At 44.9% G+C, this 12,636-nt stretch overlaps 1 protein-coding gene across 6 annotated transcripts in view; it reads left to right on the top strand.

Annotated features, from left to right (window-relative positions):
- The window catches only part of SNX6 (sorting nexin 6), a 69,056-nt gene that overhangs the window by 43,823 nt on the left and 12,597 nt on the right, over positions 1–12,636 (top strand). For 3 of the 6 annotated variants that reach the window (NM_001366519.1, NM_152233.4, NM_021249.5), the window contains 3 exons: positions 21–96; positions 4,726–4,765; positions 10,484–10,570. In NM_001366519.1, the coding sequence (NP_001353448.1) occupies positions 21–96; positions 4,726–4,765; positions 10,484–10,570 (203 nt within the window). Of the gene's footprint in view, positions 1–20; positions 97–4,725; positions 4,766–10,483; positions 10,572–12,636 lie in introns of those variants that run through there. The other 3 variants (NR_159358.1, NR_159357.1, XM_047431642.1) reach the window with 2 other exon arrangements.

The raw sequence follows: 12,636 nt of genomic DNA, 5'->3' as shown, positions 1-12,636 counted from the left end.
TCTTAAAACTTTCTCCATAGGTGCTGCAGATGATTACAATAGAATTGGTTCTTCATTATATGCTTTAGGAACTCAGGATTCTACAGATATATGCAAGTAAGTGTTCTAATTTAAAACGTGAAATAGGCTGGGCGCGGTGGCTCACGCCTGTAATCCCAGCACTTTGGGAGGCGAAGGTGGGTGGATTAAGAGGTCAGGAGTTCAAGACCAGCCTGACCAACACGGTGAAACCCCGTCTCTACTAAAAATACAAAAATTAGCCAGGCGGGGTGACACACACCTGTAATCCCAGCTACTCAGGAGGCTGAGGCAGGGATTGTTTGAACCTGGGAGGCAGAGGTTGCAGTGAGCTGAGATTCCACCTTTGCACTCCAGCCTGGGCAACAGAGTGAGACTCCATCTCAAAAAAAATAAATAAATAAAACATGAAATATAGCTGGGCACAGTGGCTCATGCCTGTAATCCCAGCACTTTGGGAGGTGGAAAACCTGAGGTCCGGAGTTCAAGACCAACCTGGCCAACATTGCTAAACCCTATCTCTACCAAAAAATACAAAAATTACCCAGGTGTCGGTGGTGTGTGCCTGTAATCCCAGCTAGCTACTCGGGAGGCTGAGGCACAAGAATCACTTGAACCCGGGAGGCGGAGGTTGCAGTGAGCCAAGATCATGCTGCTGCACTCCAGCCTGGTGACAGAGCAAGACTATCTCAAAAAATATATATGAAATATAAATAAAGCAGAGAAAATTTTCTATTGGCAGCCTGGATGCACACAATACTTTTGGTTTTTGTTTTAGTTTTTGTTTTGAAACAGGGTCTTATTCTGTCACCCAGGCTGGAGTGCAGTGGCACGATCATGGCTCTCTGCAACATTCTCCTTCCACGTTCAAGCAGTTCTCCCACCTCAGCTTCCAAAGTAGCTGGGATTACAGGTGCCTGCCACCATGCCTGGCTAATTCTTGTATTTTTAGTAGAGATGGGGTTTCACCATATTGGCCAGGCTGGTCTCAAGCCCTTGACTTCAAGTGGCCTGCCCGACTCAGCCTCCCAAAGTGCTGGGATTACAGCCTGTGAGCCACTTCTCCCGGCCAACAATACTTCTAATACAAAACTTTTGGAATATTTTTGTCAAAACACATTGATAATAAGGACCTCCTTTAAAAACTTGGGTTGAGGGCTGGGCATGGTGGCTCACGCCAGTAATCTCAGCACTTTGAGAGGCCGAGGCGGGCAGAACACCTCAGGTCGGGAGTTTGAGACCAGCCTGACCAACATGGAGAAACCCTGTCTCCACTAAAAATACAAAATTAGCCAAGTGTGGTGGCAGGTGTCTGTAATCCCAGCTACTTGGGAGGCTGAGGCAGGAGAATCGCTTAAACCCAGGAGACGAAGGTTGCGTTGAGCCGAGATCACAGCATTGCACTCCAGCCTGGGCAACAAGAGCAAAATTCCATCTCAGAAAAAAAAAGAAAAAAGAAAAAACTTGGGTTGATATTTTTTCTTCTCCCTTTCTGTCCTATTTTTTAAATCTGAGAAATAAAAATCGACTTTACTCTCTCTCTCTATATATATTTTTTTTTCTTCCTCCCCAACTGTGTTTTATTTATGAAAATGGGCTGATTTGTGTGTAAGAGAGTGGAAGAACCGAATTTATGTTAGAGTGTTCTTAAGTTTTGATAAAGCTTATAAATAAGAACTGCCATTTGGGAATTAGAATATATATATATGTATGTATGTATGTATATGTGTTTATGTATTTCATTGAAGGTGAAATTGATTCTGCCACCCGCCCCCCGGAAGACGGTGTCTTGCTCTGTCACCCAGGCTGGAGTGCAGTGGCGTGTTCTCTAAAAACACAAAAATTAGACATGGTGGTGTACACCTGTAATCCCTGCTACTTGAGAGGCTGAGGCGTGAGAATCACTTGAACCTGGGAGGCAGAGATTGCAGTGAGCCAAGATCACACCACTGCACCCCAGCCTGGGCGACAGAGCAAGACTTGGTTTCAAAAAAACTAAAAATTAAACATATTTTTAAGCAGGAAAACTATTTTCATAGTCTATGCCTTTCTCTAAACCACATCCTTGACCTTTTCTCTAGTGTATTCTGTCTCAGATATTTAAAAGTCACGCTTTTTGGCAAAGCAAGGTATGATAGCTTACACTAATTAAAATGCCACCAGCCGGGCACAGTGGCTCACACCTGTAATCCCAGCACTTTGGGAGGCCAAGGCAGGTGAATCACCTGAGGTCAGGAGTTGGAGACCAGCCTGACCAACATGGAGAAACCCCATCTCTACTAAAAACACAAAATTAGCCTGGCGTGGTGGCGCATGCCTGTAATCCCAGCTACTCAGGAGGCTGAGGCAGGAGAATCGCTTGAACCTGGGAGGCAGAGGTTGCAGTGAGCCGAGATTGCGCCATTGTACTCTAGCCTTGGCAACAAGAGAGAAACTCCGTCTTAAAAAAAAAAAAAAGCCACCTTCCCAAAGAGTTAATTCTTCTTATCAGGAAGAAGGAAAAAAGTCAACCTTGCCATCTGTTCTCTAACGTAAATCTGTCAAAGCAAGTTCTTTTGAGTGAAAGCAAAGTTCGTAAAATTGTTTTTGCTTTGAGTAGTATTTGCCCTAATTCATTTATGATGTCATTTTAATTACATATTTTACAGAATACTTGAACCTGTGCCCTTTTTTGTTTTTTGAGAGTGGATCTTGCTGTGTGGCTCAGGCTGGCATACAGTAGCTATTCGCAGGTGCAGTCATAGAGCACTGCAGCCTTGAACTCCTGTGCTCAAGCAATCCTCTTGCTTCAGCCTCCTGGGTAGCTGGGACCATAGGTTTGTGCCAGAACGGGGTGACAGAATGATAGCCCATCTCAAAAAAAAAAAAAAGAAAAAAATGAATAACCAATTTCTACTTAAGAATTTATTTTCACTTTTAACTAAATAGTTTATCTGTCAAATGCTGATACCAACTAAAAAATATCCCAGCACCAGACTATTTTTTTTGTAGTTGTTCTTGAGACGGAGTCTCGCTCTGTTGCCCAGGCTGGAGTGCAGTGGCTCAGTCTTGGCTCACTGCAAGCTCCACCTCCCGGGTTCACACCATTCTCCTGCCTCAGCCTCCCAAGTAGCTGGGACTACAGGCGCGTGCCACCACGCCAGGCTAATTTTGTTTTGTATTTTTAGTAGAGACAGTGTTTCACCATGTTACCCAGGATGGTCTCGATCTCCTGACCTCATGATCCTCCCACCTCGGCCTCCCAAAGTGCTGGGATTACAGGCATGAGCCACCGCACCCAGCCAAACACCAGACTATTAAAGGGTAGTTTAATTACAGGATTGCACCATCGTGCCCCACTAATTTTTTGTATTTTTAGTAGAGATAGGGTTTCACTGTGTTGCCCAGACTAGTCTCAAACTCCTGGCCTCAAGTGAGCTGCTTGCCTCAGCCTATTTGCTACAATGAATCTAGATAAATTTTGTTGGCTGGGCACAGTGACTCATGCCTGTAATCCCAGCACTTTGGGAGGCCAAGGTGGGCAGATCACTTGAGGCCAGGAGTTTGAGACCAGCCTGGCCAACATGGCGAAACCCCATTTCTACTAAAAATACAAAAATTAGCCAGGCTTGGTGAGCACCTGTAATGCCAGCTACTTAGGAGGCTGAAGCAGGAGAATCGTTTGAACCCAGGAGGTGGAGGTTGCAGTGAGATGGCGCTACTGCACTGCGGCTGGGGCAAGAAAGCGAGATTCAGTCTCAATAACAACAACAACAACAAAAACACGTTTAATGTATGGCTTAGGCTGTCATCTTGAAATGGGGCCCAGCACTCTGGCTCACACCTGTAATCTCAGCAGTTTGGGAGGCCACTGCGGGCAGATCACTTGAGATCAGGAGTCCAAGACGAGCCTGGGCTCAAGCCATCCTTTCACCTTAGCCTCCCGAATAGCTGGGACTACAGGTGTGCACCACCACACCTGGCTAATTTTTAACCAGGTGAAAACTTGTTTCTACTAAAAATACAAAAGTTAGCCAGGCATGGGGGCAGCTGCCTGTAATCCCAGCTACTCAGGAGGCTGAGGCAGGAGACTCACTTGAACCCAGGAGGCAGAGGTTGCAGTGAGCTGAGGTTGCACCGCTGCACTCTGGCCTGTGCAACAGAGCCAGACTCTGACTCAAAAAAAAAAAAAAAAAAATCAGGGCCGGGCGTGGTGGCTCACACCTGTAATCCCAGCACTTTGGGAGGCCGAGGCGGGCGGATCACGAGGTCAAGAGATCAAGACCATCCTGGCCAACATGGTAAAACCCCGACTCTACTAAAAATACAAAAATTAGCTAGGCGTGGTGGCGGGCGCCTGTAGTCCCAGCTATTCGGGAGGCTGAGGCTGGAGAATCGCTTGAACTCGGGAGGCAGAGGTTACAGTGAGCTGAGATTGCGCAGTTGCACTCCGTTCTGCGCAACAAGCGTGAAACTCCATCGCAAAAAAAAACAAAAATCAAATGAACAGATAGTCTATCTGTAAACAGATTTCAAGTAATCAGTTTTATTGGTAGAAGTACAGGGAGATTTTTGTCAAACTAAATGAAGTCTGCAGTTAATAAGGCTATTGAATATAACTGCAATGAGACAAGGTGTTATTAATATGGTTTGGGAGCATATTCTCATACATTTGAAATGGAAAATTACTTTGAATGTAGAATATGATGAAAATATTTTCCTTTCCAGGTTTTTTCTCAAAGTTTCAGAACTGTTCGATAAAACAAGAGTAAGTACTAAATTATAGAGATATACTGCATAATATTGTGCCCAGAGAGAGCTCATGTTAAAGGTTTTTACCACAATTCAGAAAATTTTTTTAAAAGAGTGATCACTATTGGCCAGGCACGTGGCTCGTGCCTGTAATCCCAACACTTTGGGAGGCCAAGTGGGGCGGATCACGAGGTCACGAGATCAAGACCATCCTGGCCAACATAGTGAAACCCTGTCTCTACTAAAAATACAAAAATTAGTTGGGCGTGGTGACGCATGCCTATAGTCCCAGCTACTTGGGAGGCTGAGGCACAAGAATCGCTTGAACCCGGGAGGCCAACGTTGTAGTGAGCCAAGATTGCACCACTGCACTCCAGCCTGGCGAGAGAGCAAGACTCTGTCTCAAAGAAAAATAAAAAGAGTAATCACTGTTAACCGTTTGGCGATTTAAATCTCTGCATGTGGTAATATTTAACTTGCTATGGTTCTGTTTAACTCTATTGAGGAAGATGAGTGTACTTCAGAAGGATGATGAAACAGATTTGGATTCCATTGGGAGTTTTTCAGGAAATTCCATTTTTTGTTATTGCCTTTAAGTATTTGTATGAAAGTTCATATTCTTCTGTGTGCAGTGACTTAACGCTTGTAATCCCAGCACTTTGGGAGGCTGAGGCAGGAGGATCTCTTGAGTCCAGGAATTTGAGATCAGCCTGGGAAAACATAGCAAGACGCTGCCTCTACAAAACGTTTAAAAATTAGCTAGGTGTGGTGGTGCAAACCTGTAGTCCTACTTGGGAGGCTGAGGCAGGAGGATGCTTGAGCTCAGGAGTTTGAGGCTGCAGTGAGCTGTGACCGTGCATCTGCACTCCATCCTGGGTGACAGAGTGAGACCCTGTCTCTAAAAAAAAAAAAAAATGGAATCCCTCCTGGAACAGATAAACAAATTAATTAAATACTATATACCAATAAGAATAAAGGAACCAGGCCAGGTGGGTCACGCCCATAATGCCATACATTGAAGGGTGAGGTGGGAGGATCAGTAGAGGCCAGGAGTTCGACCAGCTTGGGCAATGTAGCAAGACTCCCTCTCTACAAAAGTTACCAAAAATTAGCCAGGCGTGGTGGCGCACAACTGTAGTCCTAACTACTTGGGAGGCTGAGGCAGGAAGATTCTTGAGCCCAGGAGGTCAAGGTTATAGTGAGTTATGATTGTGCCAGTGTACTCCAGCCTGGGTGACAGAGACCCTGTATCAAAGAAAGAAAGAAAATGAATAGAAAATTACCAGCAACCCAGATGCCCTGTCTCCTCCTCATCTCCTCAGCTGCCTTTCAAGGCACTGCCAGTGAGATTTGGGTTTTTTGTTTTGTTTTTTGTTTGTTTGTTTGTTTTTGAGACGGAGTCTTGCTCTTTCACCCAGGCCGGAGGCTGGAGTGCAGTGGCACGATCTCGGCTCATTGCATCCTTCGCCTCCCAGGTTCAAGCGATTCTCTTGCCTCCTGAGTAGCTGAGATTACAGGCATGTGCCACCACGCCAGGCTAATTTTTGTATTTTTAGTAGAGATGGGGTTTCACCATGTTGGCTAGGCTAGTCTCAAAGTCCTGATGTCAAGTGATCTGCCTGCCTCGGCCTCCCAAAGTGCTGGAATTACAGGCATGAGCCACTGTGCTCGGCCCAGCCCCTTTTTTATTTTTATATATAATATAAATGCATGTGCAACATGTATTATTTTTCTTTCTTTTTTTTTTTTTTGGTAGAGACAGGGTCTTGCTATGTTGCCCAGGCTGGTCTGAAACTCCTGGCCTCAGGCAGTCATTCTGCCTCAGCCTCGCAAAGTGCTGGAATTATAGGTGTGAGCCACTGAGCCCGGCTTATATTCTTTTATGTCTGTTTCTTGTACTCAACATTATATTCATAGGATTAAACCATGTTGTTGCACATAGATGTAGTTCCTTTATTCTTTTTGTTTTAGAGACGGGGTCTCACTCTGTCGGCCAGGCGGGAGTGCAGTTGCATGATCATAACTCATTGTAGCCTCAAACTCTTGAGCTCAAGCATCCTCTTGCCTCAGCCTCCCAAGTAGTTAGGACTACAGATGTGTGTTACCATGCCTGGCTAATTTTTGTAGAGAGGGAGTCTCACTACATTGCTCAGGCTGGTCTTGAACTCCTGGCCTCTTTTGATATTCCTGCCTCACCCTTCAAAGCATTGGGATTACAGGCATGAGCCACCTGGCTTGGTTCCTTTATTCTTCTTGCGGTATAGTATTTTATTAATTTGTTTATCTGTTCTGCTGTTGATAGGCATTTGGATAGTTTCTAGTTTGGGCTTCTTTATAACAATACTGCTAAGATTATTGTTTATCTTCTGAACACAAGTATACAATTCTGTTGGGTATATATAACTAGGAGGGGAATTGATGGATCATATGATAACCACGTGAAAAGCTTCAGCAGAAACTGCAAAACTTTCCCATAATGATTGTACCAATTTGCATGCCCACAAGAATGAGTATGAGCATTTAGGTTGTTCTACAAGCTTGTTAAAACTTAGTATTTTACCTTTATAATTTTTGTCATTCTGGTAGGTGTATAGTTGTTTTAGTTTAACCTTTTTTTTTTTTTTTTTTTTTTTTTTTTTGAGATGAAGTCTCGCTCTGTCGCCAGGCTGGAGTGCAGTGGCGCGATCTTGGCTCACTGAAACCTCCGCCTCCCAGGTTCAAGCAATTCGCCTGCCTCAGCCTCCCGAGTAGCTGGGACTACAGGTGCACGCCTCCATGCCCAGCTAATTTTTGTATTTTTAGTAGAGATGGGGTTTCACCATGTTGGCCAGGGCGGTCTTGATCTCTTGACCTCGTGATCCGCTCACCTTGGCCTCCCAAAGTGCTGGGATTACAGGCATGAGCCACCGCACCTGGCCCCTTAACTTTTTTTTTTTTTTTTTCTTTTTGAGACAGATCTCACTCTGTCACCCAGGCTGGAATGCAGTGGCATCATCTTGATTCACTGCAACCTCCACATCCCGGGTTCAAGTGATTCTCCTGCCTCAGCCTCCCAAGTAGCTGGGATTACAGGCACACATCACCATGCCCAACTAATTTTTGTACTTTAGTAGAGATGGGTTTCACCATGTTGGCCAGGCTGGCCTCGAACTCCTGACCTCAAGTATTCCACCCACCTCAGCCTCCCAAAATGCTAGGATTACAGGCATGAGCCTTATTAAGGTGCCAGCCTTACTTTAATTTTTTATTTTGGCGGTAATTTCAGACTTACAGAAAAGTTGCAGAAAATAGTACAAGAATCCCTGTAATGCATCATCCAGGTTTCTGAATATTAACATTTTCCCTTTTGTATTTTTGTTTGTTTGTTTGTTTTGAGACAGAGTCTTGCTCTGTCACCCAAGCTGGAGTGCAGTGGAACGATCTTGGCTCACTGCAACCTTTGCCTCCTGGGCTCAAGTGAGTCTCATGCCTCAGCCTCCCAAGTACCTGGGATTACAGGCATTGCTGCCACTCCTAGCTAATTTTTATGTAGAGACGGGGGGGTGGGGTTTCACCATGTTGGCCAGGCTGGTCTCGAACTCCTGACCTCAAATGATCCACCTGCCTTGTCCTCCCGTAGTGCTGGGATTACAGATGTGAGCCACTGCACCTGGCCAATATTAACATTTTCTACATTGCTTAAAGTTCTTACATTCCAAAAAGTCTGTCTTCATTCTGTGTCCTTTATGCATACCTATCTCTTTTTTTAGTATAAGAATTATTTTTAATATAGTCAATACTGTTACTAATGATTCTCCCTTAATGTCATCAAATATCCAGTATGTACATTTTCCCAATTGTCTCATAAATGGCTTTTTATTATAGTATAGCTTGTTTGAGTCAGGATACAAACAAGGTCCCATATATTGCATTTGGTTGATATAATAAATTTCTTTTCATCCTCTGTCCCGTCATACTGAAGAGCTATCTTTTTAGTCTGACCTGGCTACTTCCCCTTCCATCTCACCTCAAACATACCACTTCTGGTTATTACTCTGTGGTGTCTTCAGGCACATTTTACTAAAGCTTTGACTGCATTTTCTAGCTGTCTTCAGCAGGAGGATTAGATTGAATTACCTAGTCTACCATTGCAAGCCTTCATTCCTTTAAAATTGTGTGTACATATCAATTACAATTGAAATGAATAGAGGCTGGGCACAGCGGCTCACATCTGTAATCCCAGCACTTTGGGAGGCTGAGGTGGGTGGGTCACCTGAGGTCAGGAGTTCGAGACCAGCCTGGCTAACAAGACAAAACCCCGTCTCTACTAAAAAAAAATACAAAAAAATTAGCCAAGCTTGGTGACGTGCACCTGTAATCCCAGCTACTAGGGAGGCTGAGGCAGGAGAATCGCTTGAACCCAGGAGGCCGAGGTTGTAGGGAGCTGAGATCATGCCACTGTACTCCAGCCTGGCAACAGAGCAAGACTTCGTCTGGAAAAGAAAGAAATACCTAGAAAGTTTTTTTTTGTTTTGTTTTTTGTTTTTTGAGACAGTCTCTCGCTCTGTCACCCAGGCTGGAATGTAGTGGCTCAATCTTGGCTCACTGCAACCTCAGCCTTCTGAGTAGCTGGGATTACAGGCATGCACCACCATGCCTGGCTAATTTTTGTATTTTTAGTAGAGACGGGGTTTCACCATGTTGGTCAGGCTGGTCTCGAACTCCCGACCTCATGATCCGCCCGCCTCGGCCTCCCAAAGTGCCAGGAATACAGGCATGAGCCACCATACCCAGCCTGAGAAAATATTAATGAAGGTAAAAGATCATATTGAAACTCATTATAGAGTCTGACTGGGCATGGTGGTTCACACCTGTAATCCCAGCACTTTGGAAGGCTGAGGCAGGAGGATCATTTGAGGTCAGGAGTTTGAGACCAGCCTGGCCAACATAGTGAAACCCCACCTCTACTAAAAATACAAAAGTTAGCCAGGCGTGGCAGTGCATGCCTGTAATTCCAGCTACTCGGGAGGCTGCGGCAGGAGAATTGCTTGAACCTGGGAAGCAGAGGTTGCAGTGAGCCGAGATTGCGCCACTGCATTCCAGCCTGGGTGACAGAGTAAGACTCTGTCTCAAAAAAAAAAAAAATATATATATATATATATGGTGTCCTTCCATAAACTCACGAGTCTCATTTGATCTTTTTTCTGTTCATTTTATGTGAGAGTTGCAAAGAAAAGTAACAGGCTGGTAGAAGCAAAAAGGGAAGGAAAGCTCAATAAAATAGGAATGGATACTATAGTTAAAACTTCAATTTTTTAAACTATAATAATAGTTAAAATTAAGTAGGAAATTAAGTAATTAAGAAGGAAACGAGGCCGGGCGCGGTGGCTCACGCCTGTAATCCCAACACTTTGAGAGGCTGAGGCGGGCAGATCACGAGGTCAGGAGATTGAGACCATCCTGGCTAACATGGTGAAACCCCGTCTCTACTAAAAAATACAAAAAAAATAGCCGGGCGTGGTGGCGGGCGCCTGTAGTCCCAGCTGCTCGGGAGGCTGAGGCAGGAGAATGGCGTGAACCCAGGAGGCGGAGCTTGCAGTGAGCCAAGATAGCGCCACTGCACTCCAGCCTGGGTGACAGAGCAAGACTCCGTCTCAAAAAAAAAAACAAAAAAACAACAACAACAAAAAGAAGGAAACCACTGAGAGGAGAATGTAGTTGTTGATTAAATATTCAATTTTTTCCTTCTTTTCAGAAAATAGAAGCACGAGTGTCTGCTGATGAAGACCTCAAACTTTCTGATCTTTTAAAATATTACTTAAGAGAATCTCAAGCTGCTAAGGTAATTTTAATCTTTTTTTAAATGAGCCATTTTACAAACAGCCATTTCTTGAGTTTGTTAGACTTCAGATTGTTAATGATGATTTATCTCCTTTATATGATTTTAAATTATATTTTCAAATATGAATTCTATTTCTCCTTTTAGAAATTGTATATATGTGTATAATTGTACATATTTCATGTGGGAAACCCTACATAAAAGTTTCCTCTTTATTATACTTCTGATATAATCTAGAACTTTAAAAAAATGAATTTGTGGTCAGGTGTGGTGGCTCACGCCTGTAATCCCAACACTTGGGGAGGCCGAGGCCAGAGGATCACCTGACGTCAGGAGTTCAAGACCAGCCTGGCTAGCATGATGAAACCCTGTCTCTACTAAAAATACAAAAATTAGCTGGCATGGTGGCGGGTGCCTGTAATCCCAGCTACTTGGGAGGCTGAGGTGGGAGAATCACTTGAACCCGGGAGGCAGAGGTTGCAGTGAGCTGAGATCGCGTGCCATTGCACTCCAGCCTGGGCAACAGGAGCGAAACTCTGTCTCAAAAAAAAAAAAAAAAAAATTGAGGCCAGGGGTGGTGGCTCATGCCTCTAATTAATCAGCACTTTGGGAGGCTGAGGTGGTGGATCACCTGAGATCAGGAGTTCGAGACCACCCTGGCCAACATGGTGAAACCCCATCTCTACTAAAAATACAAAAATTAGCCGGGCATGGTGGTGGGCGCCTGTAGTCCCAGCTACTTGGGAGGCTGAGGCAGGAGAATTGCTTGAACGCAGGAGGTGGAGGTTGCAGTGAGCAGATATCACGCCATTGCACTGCAGCCTGGGCAACAAGAGTGAAACTCTGTCTCAAAAAATAATAATAATAAATAAAAACAAAGAAAAAGAAAAAAGCAGGAGCTGGCCGGGCGCAGTGGCTTACGCCTGTAATCCCAGCACTTTGGGAGGCCGAGGCGGGTGGATCACCTGAGTTTGGGAGTTCGAGACCAGCCTGATCAACATGGAGAAACCCCAACTCCGTCTTAAAAAAAAAATGAATTTGGTATATTTCTTCAGGTAAAATGTCTTGGAAAACAAAACCCTGGAATAACAGTTGTATTGCTAAAGGATTTCTTTCTTTTTTTTTTTTTTTTTTTTTTTGAGATGGAGTCTCACTCTGTCACCCAACTGTAACCTCTTCCTTCTGGGTTCAAGCGGTTTTCCTGCCTCAGCCTCCTGAGTAGCTGGGATTACAGGCTTGTGCCACCACACCCAGCTAGTTTTCGTATTTTTAGTAGAGGCGGGATTTCCCTATGTTGGCCAGGCTGGTCTCGAACTCCTGACCTCAGGTGATCTGCATGCCTTGGCCTCCCAAAGTGCTGGAATTAACAGGCATGAGCCACATACTGCGAAAGGATTTCTTTTTTTCTCTTTTTTTTTTTTTTGAGGTGGACTCTAGCTCTGTTACCCAAGCTGGAGTGCAGTGGCATGATTGCAGCTCACTGCAACCTCCGCCTCCCGGCTTCAAGTGATTCTCCTGCCTCAGCCTCCCAAGTAGCTGGGATTACAGGTGCCCGCCACCGCGCCTGGCTAATTTTTGTATTTTTAGTAGAGATGGAGTTTCACCATATTGGCCAGGCTGGTCTCGAACTCCTGACCCCGTGATCCCCCCACCTCGGCCTCCCAAAGTGCTGGGATTACAGGCATGAGCTACCACACCCGGCCGCAAAAGGATTTCTATTTGGTCTATGCAAGTCCTCCATTGAGCATGAGAGTGCCATAAAACAAAAATACGCTTTTTTATAAGGCAACTCATGTTTCCTTTTAAAAGGCCATGTGCTCCTGGGCGCAGTGGCTCATGCCTGTAATCCCAGCACTTTGAGAGGCTGAGGAGGGTGGATCACAAGGTCAGCAGTTCGAGAGCAGCCTGGCCAACATAGTGAAACCCCGTCTCTACTAAAAATACAAAAATTAGCCAGGCATGGTAGCAGGCACCTGTAATCACAGCTACTCCAGAGGCTGAGGCAGGAGAATTGTTTGAACCCAGGAGAGGGAGGTAGGTAGCAGTGAGCCGAGACCGCGCCATTGCAT

Source organism: Homo sapiens, chromosome 14 (assembly GCF_000001405.40).
Source record: "Homo sapiens chromosome 14, GRCh38.p14 Primary Assembly".
NCBI classification, from domain to species: Eukaryota; Metazoa; Chordata; class Mammalia; order Primates; family Hominidae; genus Homo; species Homo sapiens.
The sequence above is the reverse complement of the archived record's forward strand: the minus strand, read 5'-3'. Positions and strand labels throughout refer to the sequence as shown.